Genomic DNA, 23,045 nt, shown 5'->3' on the forward strand with positions numbered 1-23,045 from the left:
TCAATCTATAATTTATGAATAATCATTTACTCAATAAAATTAATTACAGCCTTGCATACATGACCAAAACTATGATACTAATCAAATCCACCCTGACTTTTTCTGTGTAACCTGTGGTAAGAATGTAAATAGGTTTGAAATGATTGTATTTGAGAAGCAGCACTACGGTTAAAAGCAACAGCTAGGGAACTAGACTTGGGGCTGAATCCTGGCTATGAGACTTAGTAGTTGTGTGTTCTCTATCTAATTACTTAATCTCTCAGCTTCTAGCTTCTTTACCTGTAAAGTGGGGATAATAAAAGCTGCCTCATATGATTGTTAATGAAGAATAAATGAATTAATACATGTAAAATATTTATTAGGATAAACACAAACATGTGTTTGCCATTATCATTAGTACTTAGAACCATCTTAGCTTCAGAAAAGCAGCATGAAGCCTGATGTACATGCACAGGGTCAAATACTTACCACACATCTAAAATTGGGAATTGTTGCATATTTGTAAGAATAGGGATACAGTAACATCTGAGCATATGCATGAAAGGAGAGATAAGCCCTAATGTGCTTTCTGTGTTTTCGAAGGAAGTTAGCTACAGCCTTCACTTCCGGCTCAGATTCTGGAAAAGGGCCACAGTATGTGTCATCACAAGGGTGCATAGAAGCTCCTTCATCTGCAAGTCAGAAAAGAAAATGGGGTAAGGAAGTGGGCAGGGAAGAAACAAGAAACACAAATCAGCACTGTTAAGCTGTGATTTTTCTTTTATTTCTCCAAACATATGGTATTATTAAGCAATTCATCTAACTTCTCATTTATGGAAATCAGTACAAAAGTTCTAAGGTGATTGAAGTTCCCATGCACAACAGGAGGGCCTGAATAGAAACCAGGTAGTGATTTTTCAACTGAACATGCACAAACCACTCTAAAGAAATTGCTCTATCAGCTGTCACTTCTAGCTGCACCTAGCAGCTAGAACAATAGTACAGCAAGTGTTCAACAGGTATTTGTTGAATAAGTTAATGTCAGATAGAAAGAAAAGGCTATGCTGCCTACAGCGTCTGCTCCACCCCTGCTGCCCGCTGGAGCCCTAGTGGCTCCCTCGCTTGGCAACAACACAAGTCTCATGGCCGCAGCAGCTGCAGCTGCAGCAGTGGCAGCAGCAGGCGGACCTCCAGTCCTCACTGCCCAGACCAACCCCTTCCTCAGCCTGTCGGGAGCAGACGGCAGTGGCGGTGGCCCCAAAGGAGGGACCGCTGACAAAGGAGCCTCAGCCAACCAGGAAAAAGGCTAAATCCACCCTTACCCCTCCTGACCCCCCAAGTGGAGGGAACAGATCCTGGCCTGAGGGGTCCTAGCCTGGAGCAGGCGCCTGCGCCCAGACCCTGGAGAGCCTTGACCCAGAGCCTGTGCTGAGGTCCAGGGAGTGTGGAGAGCTCCTGGTGTCAAGGACTGAGACTGAGAGGGGAGCCCCCTCCATCTGGCCCCCTTCCCTTTCTGTACTGTCCGCTTTGTGAGGCTCAGAGGAAGGACAGTCTGCAAGCCCACCTAGGAGGTCCATCCCCAGCAAATGTTTTGGAGGTCCCCCCAGAGAGCACAGTGGGCCATGGAAGAAGTAGGGGGTTGGTTGGACCTGTCACATGAAATGGATCAGCACTTGAATGGGGAGAAGTGGAGGGAGAGGCCCTGGGCCTGTCCCTGCGGGGAAATCTTTTATGGAAGAAGGGCTGGACCCACTTTACCTGCAGTTTCTTCCCAGCTCAGGCAGATGGCAGAAGGGACCCCTTGGACTTTTTCTCGCCATCCCTCCCCCCAGCGCAGGGGCACAAGCTGAGCTTGTAAAAGCCCACAGATGTTGGGGGCTGGAGAAGGGGCAGGAGAGCATCACACTCAGCCCCAGCCTCCTCAACCTCTTGGGGCCCTGTGATGGGGAGGAGACGGCAGGTGCGGGGAGGCTCCGGCCTTCCTTGGTGCCCCGCCCTTTGTTTGCACTATTGGACTTAGGAGTGCCGAGGGTGGGGAGATGGAGCTGCCTGACTCAGTGTGTGAGTGTGTGTGCGTGCATGTGTGTGTGTGTGTGTGTGTATGTGTCTGTCTGCCTGTCTCTCTCCTCCTGGACCCAGGGCAGCCAAGGGCAGGGATAGGTGCAGTGGTCAGATGAAGCAGTGCCAGAGAGGGGACCTCCCAGCTCTTATTTGCACCCTCCCCACCTCACCAACTTTGGTCCCTCTCTGGGGGCATGAATGGTTAACAAACACCAGAGCAGTACTCCAATATTGGAGAGTCACTGGGGGCACAGGGCTTTGAATCAGGGTAGTATCCTGCCTTCCCTCCCCTGACCCCACATGGTCTCAGGGCCCCCTTAGGGCCCCCTACCCCACTGATAGCTTCCTCCTTCTCTGGCACAAGGGGAGCCCCAGGGCTTGGGGGAGGGCGTAAGGTGGGGGGAAATGCCACAGCTTTTAGCAAAAGCCTCCCTCCCAGAATTAGCCAGCTTGCCTCCTGCACCCCACCCCCACCAACCAGGGGAGCCACTAAGCTGACTAACAACTGTCCCCTCACCCACCAGCTATTTCCCCAGTGTAGAGTGGGCAATTCTCACCTTCAAAGAGTCCCCACCTGCCCAGGCCTTTGGCACAGAGGCTGAGTGGACAGTCAGGAGAGAGGCGAGAGGCAAGGCGAAGCCGATGTCCCTGTTTCAGTTGCACTGGGGTTGGAGCCCAGGGTAGGGGTTTCCAGCTTCCCCAGGCTCCGGCCTTGTCAGTCTCTTTGCATGTGTGGATTTTTCTGTGTGTTTCTGTTTGGGTTTTTGTTGTTGGGTATTTTTTTTTTTTTTAATAAAGAAAAGAAGATGTGTATATTTTTGGCAACGACCAAAAAAAAAGAAAGAAAAGGCTAGACATATGTAAAGGTATCTGATAAGATACAAATATTGATATAGCAAGAACATAAAGGCAGGCCAGAAATAATTTCACCAATTTCTATTATGCTTTTAGAACAGCGCTATCCAAACTAGTTGTGTAAAACCAGGAGGCTTTTCTAGTTATCTTGGGGATTGGTTAGAGTTTAGTTATGAAATCTTCAAAACAAAATTTTAATAACTTTTGAATTAAAAATCAAACTATATATGGTATATTTAAGAGGTCTAAGGAAGGAAGGAAGGAAAATAAGAATCACTGTAACAATCACAAAGTATTATGGTTCTAAGAAAATGTGGAAATAATTAGATTTTCCATAGTTATTTGCCATATGAGGCCACTAATGTCTCTTCCCTAACTCTAGAAAATGATAATTCTCTCCATAAACTAGTAGAAAATATTTGGTGGTTCTGTGATGTAGCCTAATTCTACTGAACATGAAAAGACAGCCCAGTCAAATTGGGCTAAATCTTGAGGACCGTAAGTGTAGTTCATGCTGTAGGGAAGTCAAGAGTCGAGTGGGGAACTTACAGCAATTGGGGTTTCCCTTCTTTGAATCTCATCCTGGAGATGCCTCAGAAGCAAGTGGGCTATAGATGGAACTCAGAATGTAATATAAAAACTATAGCTGGGCCAGGCGTGGTGGCTTATGCTTGTAATCCCAGCACTTTGGGAGGACGAGGCGGGCGGATCACGAGGTCAGGAGATCGAGACCATCCTGGCTAACACAGTGAAACCCCGTGTCTGCTAAAAATACAAAAAATTAGCCGGGTGTGGTGGCGGGGGCCTGTAGTCCCAGCTACTCGGTAAGCTGAGGCAGGAGAATGGCACGAACCCGGGAGGCGGAGCTTGTAGCGAGCGGAGCTTGCGCCACCGCACTCCAGCCTGGGCGACAGAGCGAGACTCTGTCTCAAAACAAAACAAAATAAAACAAAACAAAAAAAACTATAGCTGATACTCTGGAGGGAATGGAAAAAATAAAGAGAGATCTGTGGAATACAGACCTAAAGCACTGAAAAGGCAGGATCACAAACTAAACAACTAATTCTGGAGGGAGCAGAACTGATGAGCCAGAGAAAACAAGAATTTACAATAATCCTAACAAATATTCTCAAGGGCATGTAGGAGGGCACTGGAAACAAATAGGGACAAGGAGTTATAAAAAAGGACCAACCAGATATAGTAGAAACAAACAATTTAATTCAGGGTTGAATGAATACAGTTGATGAATGAATTAATAAGATGGAGAGTGGTTTGAAACATTCCTAGAAGGCATGGGGAAGAGTAAAGAATAGGAAAAATGACAGAAAAATGAAAGGGCATGAAAAATAAAATAAATATCAATATGTGATAAATGGGAGCCCTAGAAGGAAAGAAAAAGCTAAAGTTAAATATTTGAAGAACTGCTAATTAAAATTTCTCCACAATTCTTTTTTTCTGGGGGGTGGGGGGTGATGGAGTCTTGCTCAGTCGCTCAGGCTGGAGTGCAGTGGTGCAATCTCAGCTCACTGCAACCTCTGCCTCCTTGAGTTCAAGTGATTCTCCTGCCTCAGCCTCCCGAGTACCTGAGATTACAGGCACCCTGCCACCACACCTGGCTAGTTTTTGTATTTTTAGTAGAGACGGGGTTTCACCATGTTTGCCAGGCTTGTCTTGAACTCCTGACCTCAAGTGATCTGCCCGCCTTGGCCTCCGAAAGTGCTGGGATTACAGGCATGGGCCACCATGCCCGGCTAAAAATGTCTCCACAATTAAGGAAAGATTGAATAGACTTATTGTGCACCAAACAAAAGAGATAAAGAGGAAAATATCAACACTTTGACAAATTATAGTGAAATTTAAGAAAAGAAAACAATTCTAGAGAGAAAAAGCAGGTCATTTAGAAAGGAACAAGAATTCCATTCACATTTGACTTTTCAACAGCAACATGAGTACTATATCCAATGTTTTTATTAAAAAGGAATTTTGAATCTAGGCTTCTATATCTAGCTGAATTCCCATTGCAATGTGAGTGAAATAACAATGTTCTCTAGCATCTAAAAGGCTTCAAAAGAATATACCATACACTGACATACTTTGCAAACACCCCTGAAGAAAGTATTCCCACAAAATAATGAGTAACTCCAGAGAGCCTACTCTACATATCTCATATCTACAGCGATATGAGAATCGCAGGTTAGTAAGCAACTTAGTAACATCTGCTATCTAAATAAGCAATATCCAAAGTGGGGGGGCGAAGTATAATGATCCAGGTATCAAATCCTAGGAGACAACAAATTGATGGAAAATAAAGAGGGAGGTGGGCAGGGAAGGCAAAAGCATGCTAAATTGTTGGTCTATTTTGAAAAGGAGATATAGATATTGATTAAATTTAGAAATTGATGGAAAAAAAAACTTAAGTATGAGTCTTAAGTTAGGAATAACCACCAGAATAAGAAAAATAGAACACAAAATTCACAACTAATGGAAGTAATTTTGAACCATTTAATAGAAAGTAGTAAAGAAGGAAAAAAGAAAAAAGAAGAAACAGGGCCAGCTGCAATGGCTTACACCTATAATCCCAGCACTTTGGGAGGCTGAGCATGGAGGATTGCTTGAGGCCAGGAGTTTGAGACCAGCCTGGCCAACATAGTGAGATCCCATCTCTACAAAAATTTAAAAAAATTAGCCAGGTATGGTGGCACACACCTGTAGTCCTAGCTACTTGAAAGGCAGAGGCAGGATTGCCTGAGCCTGGGAGTTTGAGGTTACAGTGAGTTGTGATGGTGCCATTGCACTCTAGTCTGGGTGACAGAGCAATACCCTCTTTCTTAAAAGAAAAGAGGCTGGGCATGGTGGCTCATGCCTGTAATCCCAGCACTTTGGGAGCCAAGGCAGGTGGATCACTTGAGGTAAGGAGTTTGAGACCTGCCTGGCCAACATGGTGAAACCCTGTTTCTACTAAAAATACAAAAAAATTAGCCAGGTATGGTGGTGCATGCGTTTAATCCCAGCTACTTGGGAGGCTGAGGCAGGAGAATCACTTGAACCCAGGAGGCAGAGGTTGAAGTGAGCTGAGATCACGCCATTGCACTCCAGCCTGGGTGACAAGAGCAAGACTCGGTCTCAAAAAAAAAAAAGAAAGAAAAAGAAAAAGAAAGAAAAGAAACACTGGAAAACAGAGAACAGGAATACAGGAATTAAGACGGCAGAAATAAGTCTTAAAGTAACAGTGATCATGAAGAATGCTAATAGGTGAAACTAATTGATCAAATGACTGATTTTATTTTATTTATTTATTTTTTATCTTGAATCCTGCAGGAAATGATTAAAAAATTATTTTTAATAGAGATGAGGTCTTGCTATGTTGCCCAGGCTGGTGTTGAATTCCTGAGCTCAAGCAATCCTTCCACCTTAGATTCCCAAAATATTGAGATTACGGGCATAAGCCATAGTGCCTGGCCTGATGTTTTCATATAGAAAAATAAAGAAGATCCATAGAAAAAAGTGTGGTGTAAGTAGATATTCCAGATGTCTACTTTTAGTATTGTGGCAGCCTTGGTATTTGTATTAGTTTCCTAAGGCTGCCGTAACACATTACTACAAACTAAGCCACTTAAAATAACAGAAATTTATTCTCGTACAGTTCTTGAGGCTAAAAGTCTGGAATCAAGGTGTCAGCAGGGCCATCCACCTTCTGAATTCTCTAGGGAAGAATCCTTCCTTGCCTCTTCCTAGCTTTGGGTGGTTCTTTGCAATCCTTGGCATTTCTTGGTTTGTGGATGCATTCCAGCCATGTATCACTTAAAGAAAGACATATGTTCTGAGGCCAGGTATGGTGACTCACACCTGTAATCCCAACACTTTGGGAGGCTGAAGCGGGCGGATCACTTGAGGTCAGGAGTTTGAGACCAGCCTGGCCAACGTGGTAAAACTCTGTCTCTACTAAAAATACAAAAATTGGCAGGGCGTGGTGACACACACCTGTAATCCCAGCTACTCAGGAGGCTGAGGTGTGAGAATCGCTTGAACCCAGGGGGTGGAGTTTGAAGTGAGCCAAGATCGTGCCACTGTACTCCAGCCTGGGTGGCAGAGAAAGACCCTATCTCAAAAAAAATAATAAAAAATAACATGTTCTGAGAAATACATCATTAGACAATTTCGTCAGTGAGCAAACATCATAGAATGTACTTATGCAAATGTAGATGGTGTAGCCCATTGCTCTAGGCTATAAACCTATACAGTATATCATTCTACTAGATACTATAGGCAATTATAACAAGATGATAAATATTTGTGTATCTAAACATGGAAAAGGTAGAGTAAAAATACAGTATTATAATCTTATGGGACCTCTGACATACATACAATCACTGTTGACAAAAACATTGTCATGTGGTGCATGACTGTACTCCATTCTCTTCTTGTATGTTCACATGGCTTTCTTCCCTGTGTGTTTCTCTGTGTGTCCTCTCTTCTTATTGTAAGGACAACTCACTGAATTTAACTAATTACTTCCACAAATAACCTTTTTCCAAATAAGGTCATATTCCAAGGTTTCAGTGGATATGAATTTGGGGGGAACAAAATCCCACCACAGTTTTGAGGAATTATCCTATTGTGGAAAAACTAGATCCTGTATAGGATACTTTCTCTGAGACACTGTTTATCTTGCAAGAAGTAGAGGAGTCTCCAAGACACCTGGATAAAAGATCAGCTTAAAAAATTCAATAGTGTAATTCTACTCTTGGCAATATTACTTATAAGGATGTGCAGTAGAAAATAAGATATTATTCACAATATCTAAGAATTAAGCTATTAAAGAATGCCTGACTATTAGAAAGAAAATGTTAAAACTCTACTAAAAGATCTATAATTTCAGAATTGAATTAGAGAACTATACCATGTGCATGAATATGATGACTTGGTAGTGTAAAGATATTCATTCTTCCCTATTTATTTAGTTATTTTGTTCAATTCAATTTTGACAAAAATACCAGCCCCAGGATTTTGGGAGAAAACTCAACTAAAGAACTCTGAAAGTTCTGCGAAAGCATAAATAGCTAAGAAAATCTTGGAAAAGAAGAGCAGAGAAGGGCTTATCCTACCAGGTATTAAAACATACATAGGTATAATCATAGAAACAATATGATATAAAGTCAGAAATAAACTAGTAGACCAATGGAACAGAATCACCAAGAAAATTATTGTTTAGTAAATGATGTTGAGAAACTAGTACATAATATGGAGAAACCAGAGTTGGATCCTTAGTACATAAATATACAAAAGTGAATTCTAAATGGTTTAATGATTTAAATAACAAAAACAAGACATGGTAAGGAAGAAAAAAATATAAAGGTTTGGTTGTTTTTAGGGGCTTTCTCTGACCCTTTTCCTTCACATCATCCTTCTAGATGGACTTACAGAGCATGGGGATGGGTATATAAAAGAGGTGCTCTTTAATAACTAAATTTTTTCACAAGAATACATGCAGGGTGAACAGTGGGGGAAAAGGACTTTATGTATGTTTGGTCATATATAATGAATGTAGAATGAATTAAGAAGTTTTTAGTATTATAATCACAATTTCACCAAAAAGAGCAAGGAAATATAAAGAAACACAAATATATATGACAACATAAGTCAGACTATGTGTAATAATGTAATAATATAAAGGGCTTATATTTTAAAATTACAAGTTGATGTTGAATTCAACTTAACAAAAATTTTTGAATACTTCTGTTCTAGATGCTATGTTATGCATTGGGGATCAAATATGAAGAAGCCACAGACCCTGAGTTGAGGAACATAAAGATTATGCTGGAAGACATAAAGGTAACAGAAAAAATCAATATAATGTGATATTGTAATATGATGTAATATAATATAATATAATGTAATATGTAATATAGTGTAATGTAATATAATGTAATATGATATATTTAGAAGACAGGGCAAAGAGGCAATCATCCTGTGTGAGTGTTCAGGAAAATCTTCTTAGAGGAGATAATGTCCCCTGGAAGAGACAAATCTAGAGGGATAGATATGAGTTAGAAGATAATTTCAGATAGTAAGAACAATATCAACAAAAGTATAAAGGCAAGAGACATTTGGTAGTAAGGTTCAACATAAAACGTGAGTCAGAGAATTTTGGTGGATGCGCCTAGAGTGGTAATTAGGAACTAGTTCATGGAACATCTTATTTATGACGCAAAGGAGCTTGTAGTGTTCTCTAGGCAGTGAAGAACCTCTGTGGTGCCCATAAAATACACTACTGAGACCTCTTGGTACAGTGAGCATAGTTGACTGACAGCTCCACTTGCTACCCTCTGGATCCATCACTGCATTCTCATCAAGCCCACATTTCCCCACAGCTGCGCCTCGCCAATGACTGATCATAGTAGAGGCACTAGTGCAGGCCCATTCTTGCCAGATGCAGGTATCCTTTACAAGGCAACTTTGGCTTGATGCATCCCCACAGACCTGCCAAAGCCTTTCTTAGAGCTGCATATTAGTCTGAGACTCTTCCAGCCCCATCCTTCTTTTCCCTCTCTTTTCATAGGTTTCTGACCTGCATCATGGCAAAAAAGCTGTCCTAGCCTATTCTTTTTTTTTTTTTGAGACAGAGTCTTGCTCTGTCACCCAGGCTGGAGTGTGGTGGCATGATCTTGGCTCACTGCAACCTCCACCTCCTGTGTTCAAGTGATTCTCCTGCCTCAGCCTCCCAAGTAGCTGAGATTAGGTGCGCACCACCATGCCTGGCTAATTTTGTATTTTTAGTAGAGACGGGGTTTCACCATGCTGGCCAGGCTGGTCTCCAACTCCTGACATCAAGTGATCCACCCGCCTCAGCCTCCCAAAGTTCTGGGATTACAGGCATGAGCCACTGCTCCCGGGCCCTGTCCTGCCTATTCTTGCTTCCTCTTCTTTATTCTTCAAAGGTGTTTCCTTCGAATACATCTCTTGTCATCTAATCCTAAGTTGATGCCTGCTTCCTGGAGATCTTGAGCTACCATAACTGTGAAGTTTTTTTTTAATCACCACTTTATTGAGATATAATTTACATACGACTTTAAAGTGGATAATTCAGTAGTTTTTAGTATATTTATCGAGCTGTGCAACCATCACCATTATCTAATTTTATAACATTCATTTCCAGAAAGAAACCCCATACTTTTTAGCAGTCAATTCACATTTCTCTTCCCCTCAGTCTCTTAACCATGAAGGATTTTAACGCATGGTCAAATTTTTATGTTAGACTGATCTTGTAAAAGTTTATAGGATAGATTTGTAAGAGGCAAGTCTATAATCAGGGAGACCAAATCAAGACACAATTACAACAATCTGGGCCAGAGATATTGACAGCTGGAGGTAGGACAGTGGTATTACGAACGGTACCAACGGGGTGCATCAAAGAAATATTTGGAAGATTAACTAATTGGACTTGGTGACTGGTTGAATATGTAAGGCAATGAGGTGGGGTTTGATAACATCTTACCTCTCTGGCTTGGCCAACTTAGACATCCGTAGTTTTTTTTTTTTTTTTCTGAGACGGAGTCTCGCTCTGTCGCCCAGGCTGGAGTGCAGTGGTGCAATCTCGGCTCACTGCAAGCTCCGCCTCCCGGGTTCACGCCATTCTCCTGCCTCAGCCTCCGGAGTAGCTGGGATTACAGGCACCCGCCACCACACCTGGCTTTTTGTATTTTTTAGTAGAGACAGGGTTTCACCGTGTTAGCCAGCTTGGTCTCGATCTCCCGACCTCGTGATCTGCCCGCCTCGGCCTCCCAAAGTGCTGGGATTACAGGCGTGAGCCACCGCGCCGGGACGACAGTAGTTGTTTTGAATGAAACATTGAATAGATGAGAAGGGATGTGGACATATAGGGAGAAAAGGAAGATGTCTATTTCATTTTGGACATGTTAAGTTTGGCTGCCAATAGAGATTTCTAATGGGGTACTAAAGATAAATATGAAGCTCCAAGGAAATACTAGGCTAGAGAAAAAGATGTGGGGGTCATTATCATTTTGTGAAAGTAAAATCGGCTGAGTGCAGTGGCTCATGCCTGTAATCCCAGCACTGTGGGAGGCCAAGGTGGGCGGATCACTTGAGATCGGGAGTTCGAGATCAGTCTGAACAACATGGTAAAACCCTGTCTCTAGTAAAAATACAAAAATTAGCTGGGTGTTGTGGCGGGTCCTGCAATCCCAGCTACTCGGGAGGCTGAGGCAGAAGAATCACTTGAACCCGGGAGACGGAGGTTGCAGTGAGCCACTGCACCCCACTCTGGGCAACAGAGCGAGACTCTGTCTCAAAAAAAAAAAAAAAAGTAAAATCACTCAAAATGAATAAAAAGCTTCAAACTGTGGGGAATATCAGTATTTAAAAGAGGCAAGGAGTATAACAGGACTCTGTCATTCACACTAGGAAGGAATTGTCAGGAAAGTAGGAGGACCACAAGATACTGATGTCAGAGAATCCAGGGACTTGATGTTTCAAGGAGAGTGTGGTTAGCCTGTAAAATGCAGAAAAGAATTTCATTTAATTTTATAGTAACAAAGTAACTGGGGACTTTTGCTTTAGAAAAGTTAGTGGAGTGGTAGGGTCAAAAGCCAGATGTTATATGTGCTTAGAGGAATGAATGGGAAGAAAGGAGAAGGAGATAGTAAGTATAGACTATCTGTTTTGGGAAGCTTGGTCTACAAGTGAAGAAAATATATAAAATGATGGCTAGAGGTAACCTTGGGGATAAGAGGCAGATTTAAGATTTTTTTTTGGGAGGACAAGCATATCTAAAGAAAGAATAGGGGAAAAGTATAGATGAAAAAAGAAAAAGAGGGATTTGATACGAGAAAGTTCTAGAAAAGATGTGAATGGGTGGAATCAGCAACCAGGTGGAGTGACAGGCCTTGAATAGTAGATGGGACTTCTGATTTCCTGTTTTCTTCAAATGTCTTTGATTCCTCATCCCATCAGTAAGAAACTTTTTGCATATCCCTGATATATATTTTTAGTTTATATATGTGTCTCTTGTTTGTAGGCTAATATTATATAAAACATACCAAAATAATATTTAAAATGTTTAGAGATGAATTAAACTATAATTAAAATATTTTTAGTTTTTAAATTAATTGTGTAGAAAGGCATTAATTCTCTTAAAATAAGGATGAGAAAGATAGATGAAATCTAACTTAAATAACTTAGTGTCTACATGTTGTTTTTCTTCAATGAATTTATGATATAAATGATGATATAAAAGAATGTGAGAACATAAAGTTCTTGGTTGATCTCCTAACTGGCATTTGTATGGAAAAGTATGTGTATTGCAATCTGTTGTCTCTCTGGACATTCAAAACACCTTTTTATTTCTCTAAAAATAAACACTGGAGAGTGAATTCAAAAAATACATGGAAAAATGATTATACTTAAATATTTAATGGAAAAAAGAACATGCAATTGTATAAATGAGATGGTTAAAAACAAAGGAAAAAGATAAAATGAAGTAAAGATTAATAGTCATTTACGGCCGGGGGCGGTGGCTCACGCCTGTAATCCCAGCACTTTGGGAGGCCGGGGCGGGCGGATCACGAGGTCAGGAGATCGAGACCATCCTGGCTAACACCGTGAAACCCTGTCTCTACTAAAAAAATACAAAAAATTAGCCGGGCGTGGTGGCAGGCTCCTGTAGTCCCAGCTACTCTGGAGGCTGAGGCAGGAGAATGGCTTGAACCCGGGAGGCAGAGCTTGCAGTGAGTGGAGATGCGCCACTGCACTCCAGCCTGGGAGACAGAGCGAGACTCCATCTAAAAAAAAAAAAAAAAGTAGTCATTTGCTAGGCTGGCAATATGGTATTATTTATTTCTTTTTCTTTTTTTTAAATAGAGATAGAGTCTCGATATCTCGTCCAGGCTGGTCCTCGGCCTTCCAAAGAACTGGGGTTACAGGTATGAGTCATCATGCCTAGCCTAATTATTTTTTTCAATGTTTTATTTCTGTCATATTATCTCAATTTTAAGTAAAAAAAATTAGAAAAGAACAATCGAGATCTGAAATATATTTTTTAAAAATTTAAAAGATTTTAAAGGAAAATAAGTAAAAACAGAAAAGCAGCAGAAATATTTGGTTTTATTTTATGTTTGACAGCAACTGGTCCCTGTGGAAATTGACTTGACAGTTGCAGTTGAATCCTCTAGTAAGCAGTATTGGGAGATCATGGTTATTGTGACGTGTTTTCATTGTTATATTATCACTTTCAATGTTTTTCATTTATAGCTTTTAAATTTCTCATAAATGGAATCACAATGCTAATTTAAAAATTGTCATCTTTTAAAAGATTTCTTTTTTACTTGCATCTCCCACTGTCAAATTATCCTGGAATGACCCATGTTAAAAACTGAGCGTAGTTAACATAGTTTACAAATACACATACTGGTGTGCAGTGTGTGTGTAAACAAATACACATAGTTTACAAGTACACATATGTACTCACACACCATGCATATATGTATCTTGATATAGCTATATAGGTATAAATTACACATTCATATATATATATACACACACACATATATATACACACATATATATATACACACACATATATATACACACATATATACACATATATATACACACATATATATACACATATATATACACACACACACATATATATATACACAAAAGAGCTATTTTTACTCACAAAACAAGATCATAATCGTACAATTTTTTTTGCCTCTTGCTTTTTTCTTCAATGATATTTTGTGGAACTCCTTCCATTCAGATTTGAATTCATTCTTTTAAATTCATTCTATTGTAACATAATTTAGTCTCCTGCCTGCCTATTGTTGGGAATTATGCTTATTTCTCTCTCTTTACCATGATGAAACAATACTACAATAAAGAAAGTGGGGACATGACTACTGACCTGAAAGAAACAATAATGCAATAAGCATCAAAGTATATGTATCCTTACATCTGAGTGCTTTTATTTCTATGGGACAGACTTATAGGAATAGGGCCCTGGGCTGAAGGAGATATGTGTGTATACACACACACACACACACACACACACACACACACACACACATACACATTTTAAATAGGTGATAAATTCACATGATTCAAAAATTTAAAGTTATAAAAGGATATTTTTAATTTTCATAGATTTTTTGCCAGATTGCTTGCTAAGATTGTTACTATTTATATTTCCACAAGTAGTGTGTAAGAGTACCATCTCTCCTTCATCCCTACTAGCAATACTCTACAAGTGTATCACCTTTTGATTTTTGCCAGTTTGATGGCAAACATTTAATTTTACTTCCTTTTTTTTCTTTTTTCTTTTGAGACAGAGTCTTGCTCTGTCACCCAGGCTGGAGTGCAGTGGCACCATCTCAGCTCACTGCAACCACTACCTCCCAGGTTCAAGCAATTCTCCTGCTTCAGCCTCCTGAGTAGCTGGGATTATAGACGTGTGCCACCACGCCAGGCTAATTTTGGTATTTTTAGTAGAGACAGGGTTTCACCCTGTTGGCCAGGCTGGTCTCGAACTCCCAAGCTCAGGTGATCCACCCGCCTCAGCCTCCCAAAGTGCTGGGATTACAGGTGTGAGCCACTGTGCCTGGCCAATTGGCCTTCCTTACTGGAAGTGTGCTTGTGTTCATACTTTAGACCGGACTCTTTGAATTGCTTAATCATGTTCTTAGCTCATTTTGTTTTCTGTTGAGCTATTAATCTTTTCCTTACCCAAGTAGAAAGTGCTTTGTAAAGACTGTCATTTGCATTGCATTTTATCCTCAAATCTATAATTTGTTTATTCAATCATTTATGGCAACTTTATCATTTTAGACATTTTAAATTTCATATAATCACTATGTCTTTGTAAAAAATGGCTTTTGTTTTTTTGGTCTTGGTTAAGAAAGTTTTCCCTTGGGAGGCTGAGGTGGGCAGATCACTTCCATTTAGGAGTTTGAGACCAGCCTGGGCAACATGGTAAAACCAAGTCTCTGCTAAAAATACAAAAAATTAGCTGGTTGTGGTGGTGTGCGCCTGTGGTCCCAGCTACTTGGTAGGCTGGGGTGGAAGTATCACCTCACCCCAGAAAGTCGAGGTTGCTGTGAGCTATGATTGTGCCACTGCATTCCAGCCTGGGTGACAGAGTGAGACCCTATCTCAAAAAAGGAAAAAAAAAAAAAAAGGAAAGAACGAAAAAGAAAAAAAAAGAAAGAAAAAGAAAAAAAAGAAAGAAAGAAAAAGAAAAAAAGAAAGTTTTCCCTATCCTTAAAGATTATAGGTACTTTCTAGATTTTCTTCTAAGAATTTTATCACTTTATTTTTTTCCATGGAAGTCTTTAATCCTTCTGGATTTATTTTTGTACATATATAATGTTATCAATCATCCCTTCAGTTTTTCTAGAGGAATAGCCAACTCTGTCAGCATAATTTATTAAATATCCTGTAATTTTCCTACCAAATTAAAACATTACTTTGGTTATATATTAAAGTGTAATGCAGCCAGGGATGGTGGCTTATGCCTGTAATCCCAGCACTTTGGGAGGCTGAAGAGGGAGGATCACTTGAGGCCAGGAATTCGAGACCAGCCTGGCCAACAAGGTAAAACTCCATCTCTACCACAAATACAAAAATTAGCCAGGTGTGGCGGTGCATGCTTGTAATACCAGCTACTCAAGAGGCTGAGGCATGAGAATTGCTTGAAACAGGGAGGCAGAGGTTGCAATGAGCCAAGATCATGCCACTGCACTCCAGCCTGGGTGACACAGCGAGACTGTCTCAAAAAAGCAAAACAAAAGTGTAATGCATGTGTGGATCAATTATTGGACTCTCTGTTCTGTTCTGCTGTTCTATGTGTCTATTCTCACGTTGTTACCCTAACAATCTACAGCAGCATTAAAGTATGCTCTGATACAGGCAAGAGACAGTTCCCTTGCTACTCTTTTTACAGTTTTATCAGCTTTTTTGTCTACTTATTTTTCCATATAAACTTTATGATCATTTTATCCAATTCCTAAAAGCAGAATACAAAATCAAAAAAACCTTCATTGAGATTCTAACTGGAATTGCATTCAATTTGTACTGATTTGGGGAGGATTTTATTATATTGAGTCGTCCTATCCAAGGACAGTTTTATGCCGTTCCATTTGTTCAGATTCTTGATTGCTGTTGCTGTTGTCATTATTGTGGATAGACAGCCGTTTTTCAGATGGTCTTCTCAGAACGGTGAGGTAGAAGCTACTTCACGATGCCATCAATGTTCCTCTCATGTTCTCCCTTCCTGTCCTCCACCTCCACCTCCATCAAATGCAATCTGGGGAATCAGTCACCCAAGCCATCTCTTTTTTTTTTTTTTTTTTGGAGACAGAGTCTTGCTCTATCCCCCAGGCTGGATGGAGTGCAGTGGCGCCATCTGAGCTCACTGCAACCTCCACCTCCCGGGTTCAAGCGATTCTCATGCCTCAGTCTCCCTAGTAGTTGGGATTACAGGTGCACACCACCACGCCCGGATAATTTTTGTATTTTTAGTAGAGACGGGGTTTTGCCACATTGGCCAGGCTGGTCTCGAACTCCTGACCTCAGGTGATCCAACCACCTCAGCCTCCCAAAGTGCTGGGATTACAGGCATGAGCCACCGCGCCTGGCCACCCAAGCCATCTCTTTAAATTTCATTTTGGAGGCTTATGTGATATCAAAATAAAAATATAACCCATTCAATAAATTTTTATGGTCAATGTACTACATAAACATAGTGTTTTGAGAGTTACAAAAATTCCTGATAACTTTACTTATAGGTAATATGCTTACTTCATATTTGGAATAACAAGTAATGGCTCTCTATTGACGTTTCCTTAGAAAATCAGACCCTCTTATAGATAACTAAACATTCTAAGTTACTAAAGATAAATTACTTGCTTTGTTCAAAGTTCAAGGAAGAAGACAAAGATGGAGTAATCTAATTTCCATCCTCTCTGTAGATTTTTAACTATTTCTAAGCCACTCCTGAAGTCTAGAGACTTATGTCAATGAACGAAGGGTAGGAATTGCTATCTTTTATCCTTTTTAAGGAGAGAAAAACCAAACATTGATTTTCTCCTTCAAGATTGAGTAAGAAAAAGGGTAACTATTTTGTACTGAAAACAGGACCAGTGCTATTGTTCCTTTCTGGAGTGGAAGGCAATCAGGCTACGGGTGAAGACGTGAGTGGTGACAATCTTGCCTTGTATCTATTGGCTGTATAGCCACAGTGGAGCACTCCTCTTGACCTGAGGCTACTTGCTTTATCCATAGAATCCTCGCTAGATCCAACCAACACCAACTTTCTTTAGGTAAGCTTGGGGTCTTTATAACATCCCATACTAGCTCAGGTGGTGCGGTACAGACCCAACATGATGTGCGAAGAGTGGCAGAGTAGAGAATATAGACTAATCTTAGAAGTAGCTGTGTTTGGCGGCAGAAGGCTGTAAAAGTGATAGCACTTATGTTGCACTGAAGCTATTTATTTATATAGACTCTCCTCTCCTTTAGAGGGTGAGCTCCTTGAGGACAGAGGTCCTGGACTACAGTTTCCCGTGACTTAGCAAAACAGACACCCTCACTACCCTTTAAATGTTAGTTAAATGAATAAGTGGAGCTGACCCTGCTCAGGGAAGGTGCTTGTACCTTAGACCAGGGGTCCCTAACCCCTGGGCCATGAACCGGTACCAGTCCATGGCTTACTAGGAACTGGGCCACACAGCAGAAGGTGAGTGGCATGTGAGCAAGCAAAGCTTCATCTGTATTTATAGCTGCTTCCCGTTGCCCACATTACTAGGTGAGCTCTGCCTCCTGTCAGATCAGTGGCAACATTAGATTCTCATAGGAGTGCGAACCTTATTGTGAACTGCGCATGCAGGGGATCTAGGTTGTGTGCTCCTTATGAGAATCTAATGCCTGATGATCTGTCACTGTCTCCCATCACCCCTAGATGGGACTGTCTAGTTTCAGGAAACAAGCTCAGGGATCCCACTGACTCTACATTATGGTGAGTTTTATAATTCTTTCATTATATATCACAATGTAGTAATAATATAAATAAAGTGCACAATAAATGTAATGTGCTTGAATCATCCTGAAACCATCCCCTCCCCACTCTCCAGTCTGTGGAAAAATTGTCTTCCATGAAACTGGTCCCTGGTGCCACAAAGGTTGGGGACTGTTGCCTTAGACTGTTTAATTAACATTTAGGCTTTGATTAGACAACTAAACTCCAGTTCATCTTTATGGAAGGCTGAGGACACACCATGGATATCACCACCACCACCACCACAAAATATTTTCAGATAAGCCTGTTGGTCCATGAGAATATTATCATCACCTAAATATTTCTTGAATAACTTAAAATCTGAAACGCTGAGTTTTTCCTAAGTTGTAGGTACTTTAAAAAATGTTTCCAAAAGAAAATGAGATACTTAAACAATCTTTGTATATGGGCAATAAGTCCCAAGTTGTTTGTGTACATAGGTACAAATCAATGCTTATTATCAAGAAAATACGGAGTGATAACTTCATGACTAAGCATTTTCATAGAGAAAAATAGGACCATTAAATTTCCTCCCAGACTGTATAAAAAACTGTAATTGTGTGCTGATGAGCTTTCCTCCAAAGAATCAATGGAGGGAGATGTGCAATTGGAGAGGTTCATTTACAACAGGAAGGTTTTAAGGAACATGCAGAGGGAGTAGAAGTGTGTGAAAGATGGGCAGGGCCACAAAAAGGACAGGCTGGGATATGGAGCAGGGAAATAGGGCAATGACTTCAAGAGGGCCAGAGGACCTATTTTACCTGGCTTTTCATAGGACTTGACCTCCTAGTTGAAATATTCTCCTCCCTTGGCTTTTAACACACTGTTCCCTCAAACTTTTCTTCCAGTCTCTCTGTTCTTTCCTTCTCAACCCCCTTTATGGGGTTTTCTTCTTCTATTAGTCCCTTAAATGAAGGCGAATCCAATTGTTCTGCTCTTAGCCATGTTCTTCAGTGGTCACTCTCTTCATTGAACATGGCAGCCTCAACTATTACTTACATGTAGATACTTTCATGTATTCAACACGTCTTTACTATGCACACACCATGCCTCACGCACTGGGATACATCATGAACCAAAGGTTTTTGCCTTGTAGAGAGCTTCCATTCCAGTGGTGGTGGCGAGACAATAGACACTAGACACAGTGAAAGCGAGAATTCTACTGTGTAGGAGAAAAGTGCCATGGAAACAAGAAAAAGGACAGTGTGAGAAAGATTAGGAGTACTGGGGAGTTGGGTTGCAATGATAGAGATGGTGACGACGTTGTTCCCAGATGCTGGCTTTTGAGCAGACTTGTAGAACTCAAGGAGTTGGCTATGGCATCCAGGGAAGAGTTTTAAGCAGAGGAAACAGCCAGTGCAAAGACCCTAAGCCAATGTGGCTGGAGCCAAGTGGGGAATGAGGATAGAAATAGATGAGATCAATCGATGGGGGACCAGATTATGTGAAGTTTATAGGCTATATTAAGTCCCTTAGGCAAGTAAAATGGGGAGCCACTGCAGCATTTTCAGCAGTTAACATCATCTGACTTATATTTTAAAAGGTTCATGGTGGCTGAGGATGGAGAGTGTGTGTTTGTATGTCTGTGTGGGTGGCAGGGGGGCAAGGGTAGCAGCTGTGAGAGTAGTTAGAAGGCTCCTGCAGTAACCCACATGAGAGATGATGGTAACTTAGACTGGGATGGTAGTAACAGAAGTGGTCAGAAAGGGTTGGAATCTGGAGCGATTCTTAAGGTAAAATCAAAGGGATTTCATAAATGGTTGGATGTATGGTGTAAGAGAAAGAGCAATGTTAAAGATTGATCCATGGGTTTAAGGCCTGAGTAACTGGAAGGATGGAGTTGCCATCAACTGAGCTGAGAATGGCTATAGGAAGAGCCGATTTGGCAGAGTGAAGGTCAGGAGTTCATTTCTGGATATTTTGAGTTGAGATGTCTATTAGATACCCCCAGTGAAGATGCTAATAGATATGATATATGGAGCTTGGGAGAGAGTTTAACATCTGGAGATTTGGGGGTCATAGGCACACAGTAGAGAATGATGACATGTCTAAGGGAATGAATGTAGATAGAGAAGAGAAAAAGACAAAGGCTGAACCCTGGGCAGTCCAACATTAAGAGTGTAGGGAAAAAAGAGGACCAACAAAATAGATTTGGCGTCTTCTCTAACACCCTGAGGCTGGGTTAGGTGCTTCTCCGATATGTGCTTATAATGCCCTTTAACTGCATTTGTCAAAAACTTAGTATCCTGCATTAAAATTGTGTATATACCCATTTCTCTACTTGATTGGGTCTAGCATTTGACTAATATTAGAGACATAATAAAATGAGAAAGCATTTTATTTCATTATTATCATACATGAGCTAAACTTGTAATACTCAGAAGTACTGTGCCTTGAGTCGATGCTGTTTGCCTGAGAAGCACATTAGACACTGGAATATTCTACAGCATTTTATGGTTGATTTTATGGATTGGCATCCTGCCAGTGTTATTTACTGCAGATTAAGTATTGATTCAGCAGCAGAATGGGCTATCACATCCAGAGTTCTTTTTGCCAGTGTTTATTTCTGAAATGTTGCCTTACTCATCTTCTATACCAACCCTGTCTTTACAAAATAAAATCAGAATCCTGAATGGCTGTGTCTCTAACATGGAAATAAATTAATTTGGGTGGAAAGAAGATCACTAAAACCATCTATCTTTATTTATAGCCTTTTTGGGGCACTATCTAGGTTTTACTAAAATGCAAAGAAACAGCTCACAAATACTGTTGAATACCAAATCCCTTCTGGATTTTATGTAGCTGTGTTGGATGGATACATTATTTTAAGAGTCCTGTCCAGATCTGGCCTTAGTTATGTAGATTCTGATGAGAAAATGTCTGCAGTACTATGAAAGATCAAGAGAGCAGAAGGCTACAGCATTAGGACATAGCATTTCAAGGGAACAAGCAAAAAACAACAACAAAAAATGTGATAAAATAGACTTCTTCTAGGAGAAAGGAGCAAGCAGCATCAAACTCATCATTCTTAATGTTTTAGGAGTATAAGAATGTAAAAGTTATTAGTTTTCCCTTAGTTTATGGGAACCAATATATTGTTTCTGAAAGAGACAAAATTCTCTTTCTCATCTTCACATGCAGAACAACTGCGGAATATATAACAGATCTCTGCAGTGCAGAGTGGAGAGGAAATTTAGTCTTGTCTAATGAAACAGCATACATCTCTGTTCTGAACACTTCAGCGATTTAACTTCCATACCATACATCACCTTTTTAGTTTTTAAGTATTGAGATGTAAAACTCTACAAGGACCTCATAAATCTAGAAAGGAGACAAGACATGCACACATGAGAAAATTAGAGAACAAGACAATGCCGGATATAATCGTAAAGTGTGCAGTGCAGACTCTAAGAGCATGGAGCACAGAGGAGGGGAGAGAGCAGGGAAGATTAGGAGCCCTGGGGTAACTACAATGGCAAAGAAGAGACTCAATGGAGCTCAAGATGGAGGGAGCTCAAAAAAATACGATTTTAATTAAAAAATAAAGGACAACAAAGAAAAGGTTTTGTTGATTCTGTGAACCCTAGCTTTTCTGGATGATATAATAAGATGTAAACTAGGCTTTACAGGAGAAATGAAGAATGGAGGGGTACCAGAAGCCGCAATGGGCTAAAAATCATGAGGCTGTGCTCCAGTTACAACTGCATCACGAAGCAGCGCAGTGACAGGCATTCCACTGCTCTGGTTGCATTTGTCCTGGGTGGACTTGAGAACCAAATCCGTGGTTCTCATTGTGGTGTTGGGAAAACGTGTTGCTATCAGTAGTGGGGGATGTCTCACAGTAGTTTGTTACATGTTATAAAATTACTTAACTAAAAAAAATGGGTTTGGTTATCCTGATAAATAACTCTTACTTTACTCTAATATACTTTTGTAAAGAAGAAGATAAAAAAGGTGAAATTAGTATGGGTGTGCTTGGAATTGACCACAGGACTATGCTTTCATCATCAATAGGGTGTGTAGCATAGAAAAAAAAAGGTTGAAAATTGTTGGATTAGAAAATGAGTGCTAAGGAGGCCAGGAGTTTGAGACCAGCCTGGAAAACATAGTGAAGCCCCTTCTCTACAAAAGCAAAAAAAAAAAAAAAAAAAAAAAAAAAAAAGAAAATGATTGCCAAGACTGTTTTTTTTGTTTGTTTTTTGTTTTTTAAAAGATAAGGTCTCATTTTGTTACCCAGGCTGGAGTGCAGTGGTGTAATCTGCAGACACCAACTCCTGGGCTTAGGTGATCCTCCCACCTCAGTCTCTTGAGTAGCTGGGACTATAGGCATGCACTAGAATGCTCAGCTAATTTTGGAATTTTTTGTAAAGATGGGGTCTTGCCATATTATCTGAGTTGATCTTGACCTCCTGGCCTCAGGTGATCCTCTTGCCTCAGCTTCCCAAAGTGCTAGGATTACAAGCATGAGCCATTATGACTGTGCTCAGCCCTAAGATTCTTTACAGCATTGATAGTTTATGGTTCCAGTGCAGGTGAAACAAAAATTTTAATGTAATTACATATTTATTTTCCTCAGTATGCTTAGATTCTGTCCTAAAGATCTGAGGACAAAATTTAGTAATAACCGTTGTGTAACTTAATTGATTTCTGGTTTTGTTGTTAGAGGCAGTCTCTGAAGACGGATTGCATTCTAAAATGTAGTTAGCAAACGTTTAATTCTCAGAATGCAGTTTTCCTTGGATAAAACTTTCTTCCCTGCTCAAGGTCTCCCAAATCCCTCTCAAATTGGCTTCTCTTTTGTTACAAATTGTCGTGTATGGCACCTGATTGCCCAAACCAGAAATCATCTACTGAGTCCAACAATTTGCAAAGAGCAGTTGGTACATTGTCTCAATTTCCTTTCAATACACTCAACCTAACTCCTATAAGCAGTCAAACCTTTTCTGAATTATTGTAGGGGTCCCGTGACCCCAGGCTCTTCTTCAGTCTATATCTTCAGAAGTCCCAAGTTAATTTTGCTAAAATGCAAATCTTACCATGTAATTCCTTTGCTTAAACTTTATAATGGCTCACCACAGCCTTC

General features: G+C 40.5%; 1 protein-coding gene and 1 long non-coding RNA gene across 3 annotated transcripts in view; one reads left to right on the plus strand and one right to left on the minus strand.

The window, feature by feature from the left end:
• The window catches only part of ARFGEF1-DT (ARFGEF1 divergent transcript), a 148,035-nt gene that overhangs the window by 89,736 nt on the left and 35,254 nt on the right, over positions 1-23,045 (plus strand). The window contains exon 2 of the long non-coding RNA NR_136224.1: positions 8,641-8,727. This is a non-coding gene — a long non-coding RNA (ARFGEF1 divergent transcript). The remainder of the gene's footprint in view (positions 1-8,640; positions 8,728-23,045) is intronic.
• The window catches only part of CPA6 (carboxypeptidase A6), a 324,323-nt gene that overhangs the window by 11,532 nt on the left and 289,746 nt on the right, over positions 1-23,045 (minus strand). For both annotated transcript variants that reach the window (NM_020361.5, XM_017013646.2), the window contains exon 9: positions 469-671. In NM_020361.5, coding sequence (NP_065094.3) covers positions 469-671 — 203 coding nt within the window. The remainder of the gene's footprint in view (positions 1-468; positions 672-23,045) is intronic.

This window comes from Homo sapiens, chromosome 8 (genome assembly GCF_000001405.40).
Source record: "Homo sapiens chromosome 8, GRCh38.p14 Primary Assembly".
Taxonomy (NCBI): domain Eukaryota; kingdom Metazoa; phylum Chordata; class Mammalia; order Primates; family Hominidae; genus Homo; species Homo sapiens.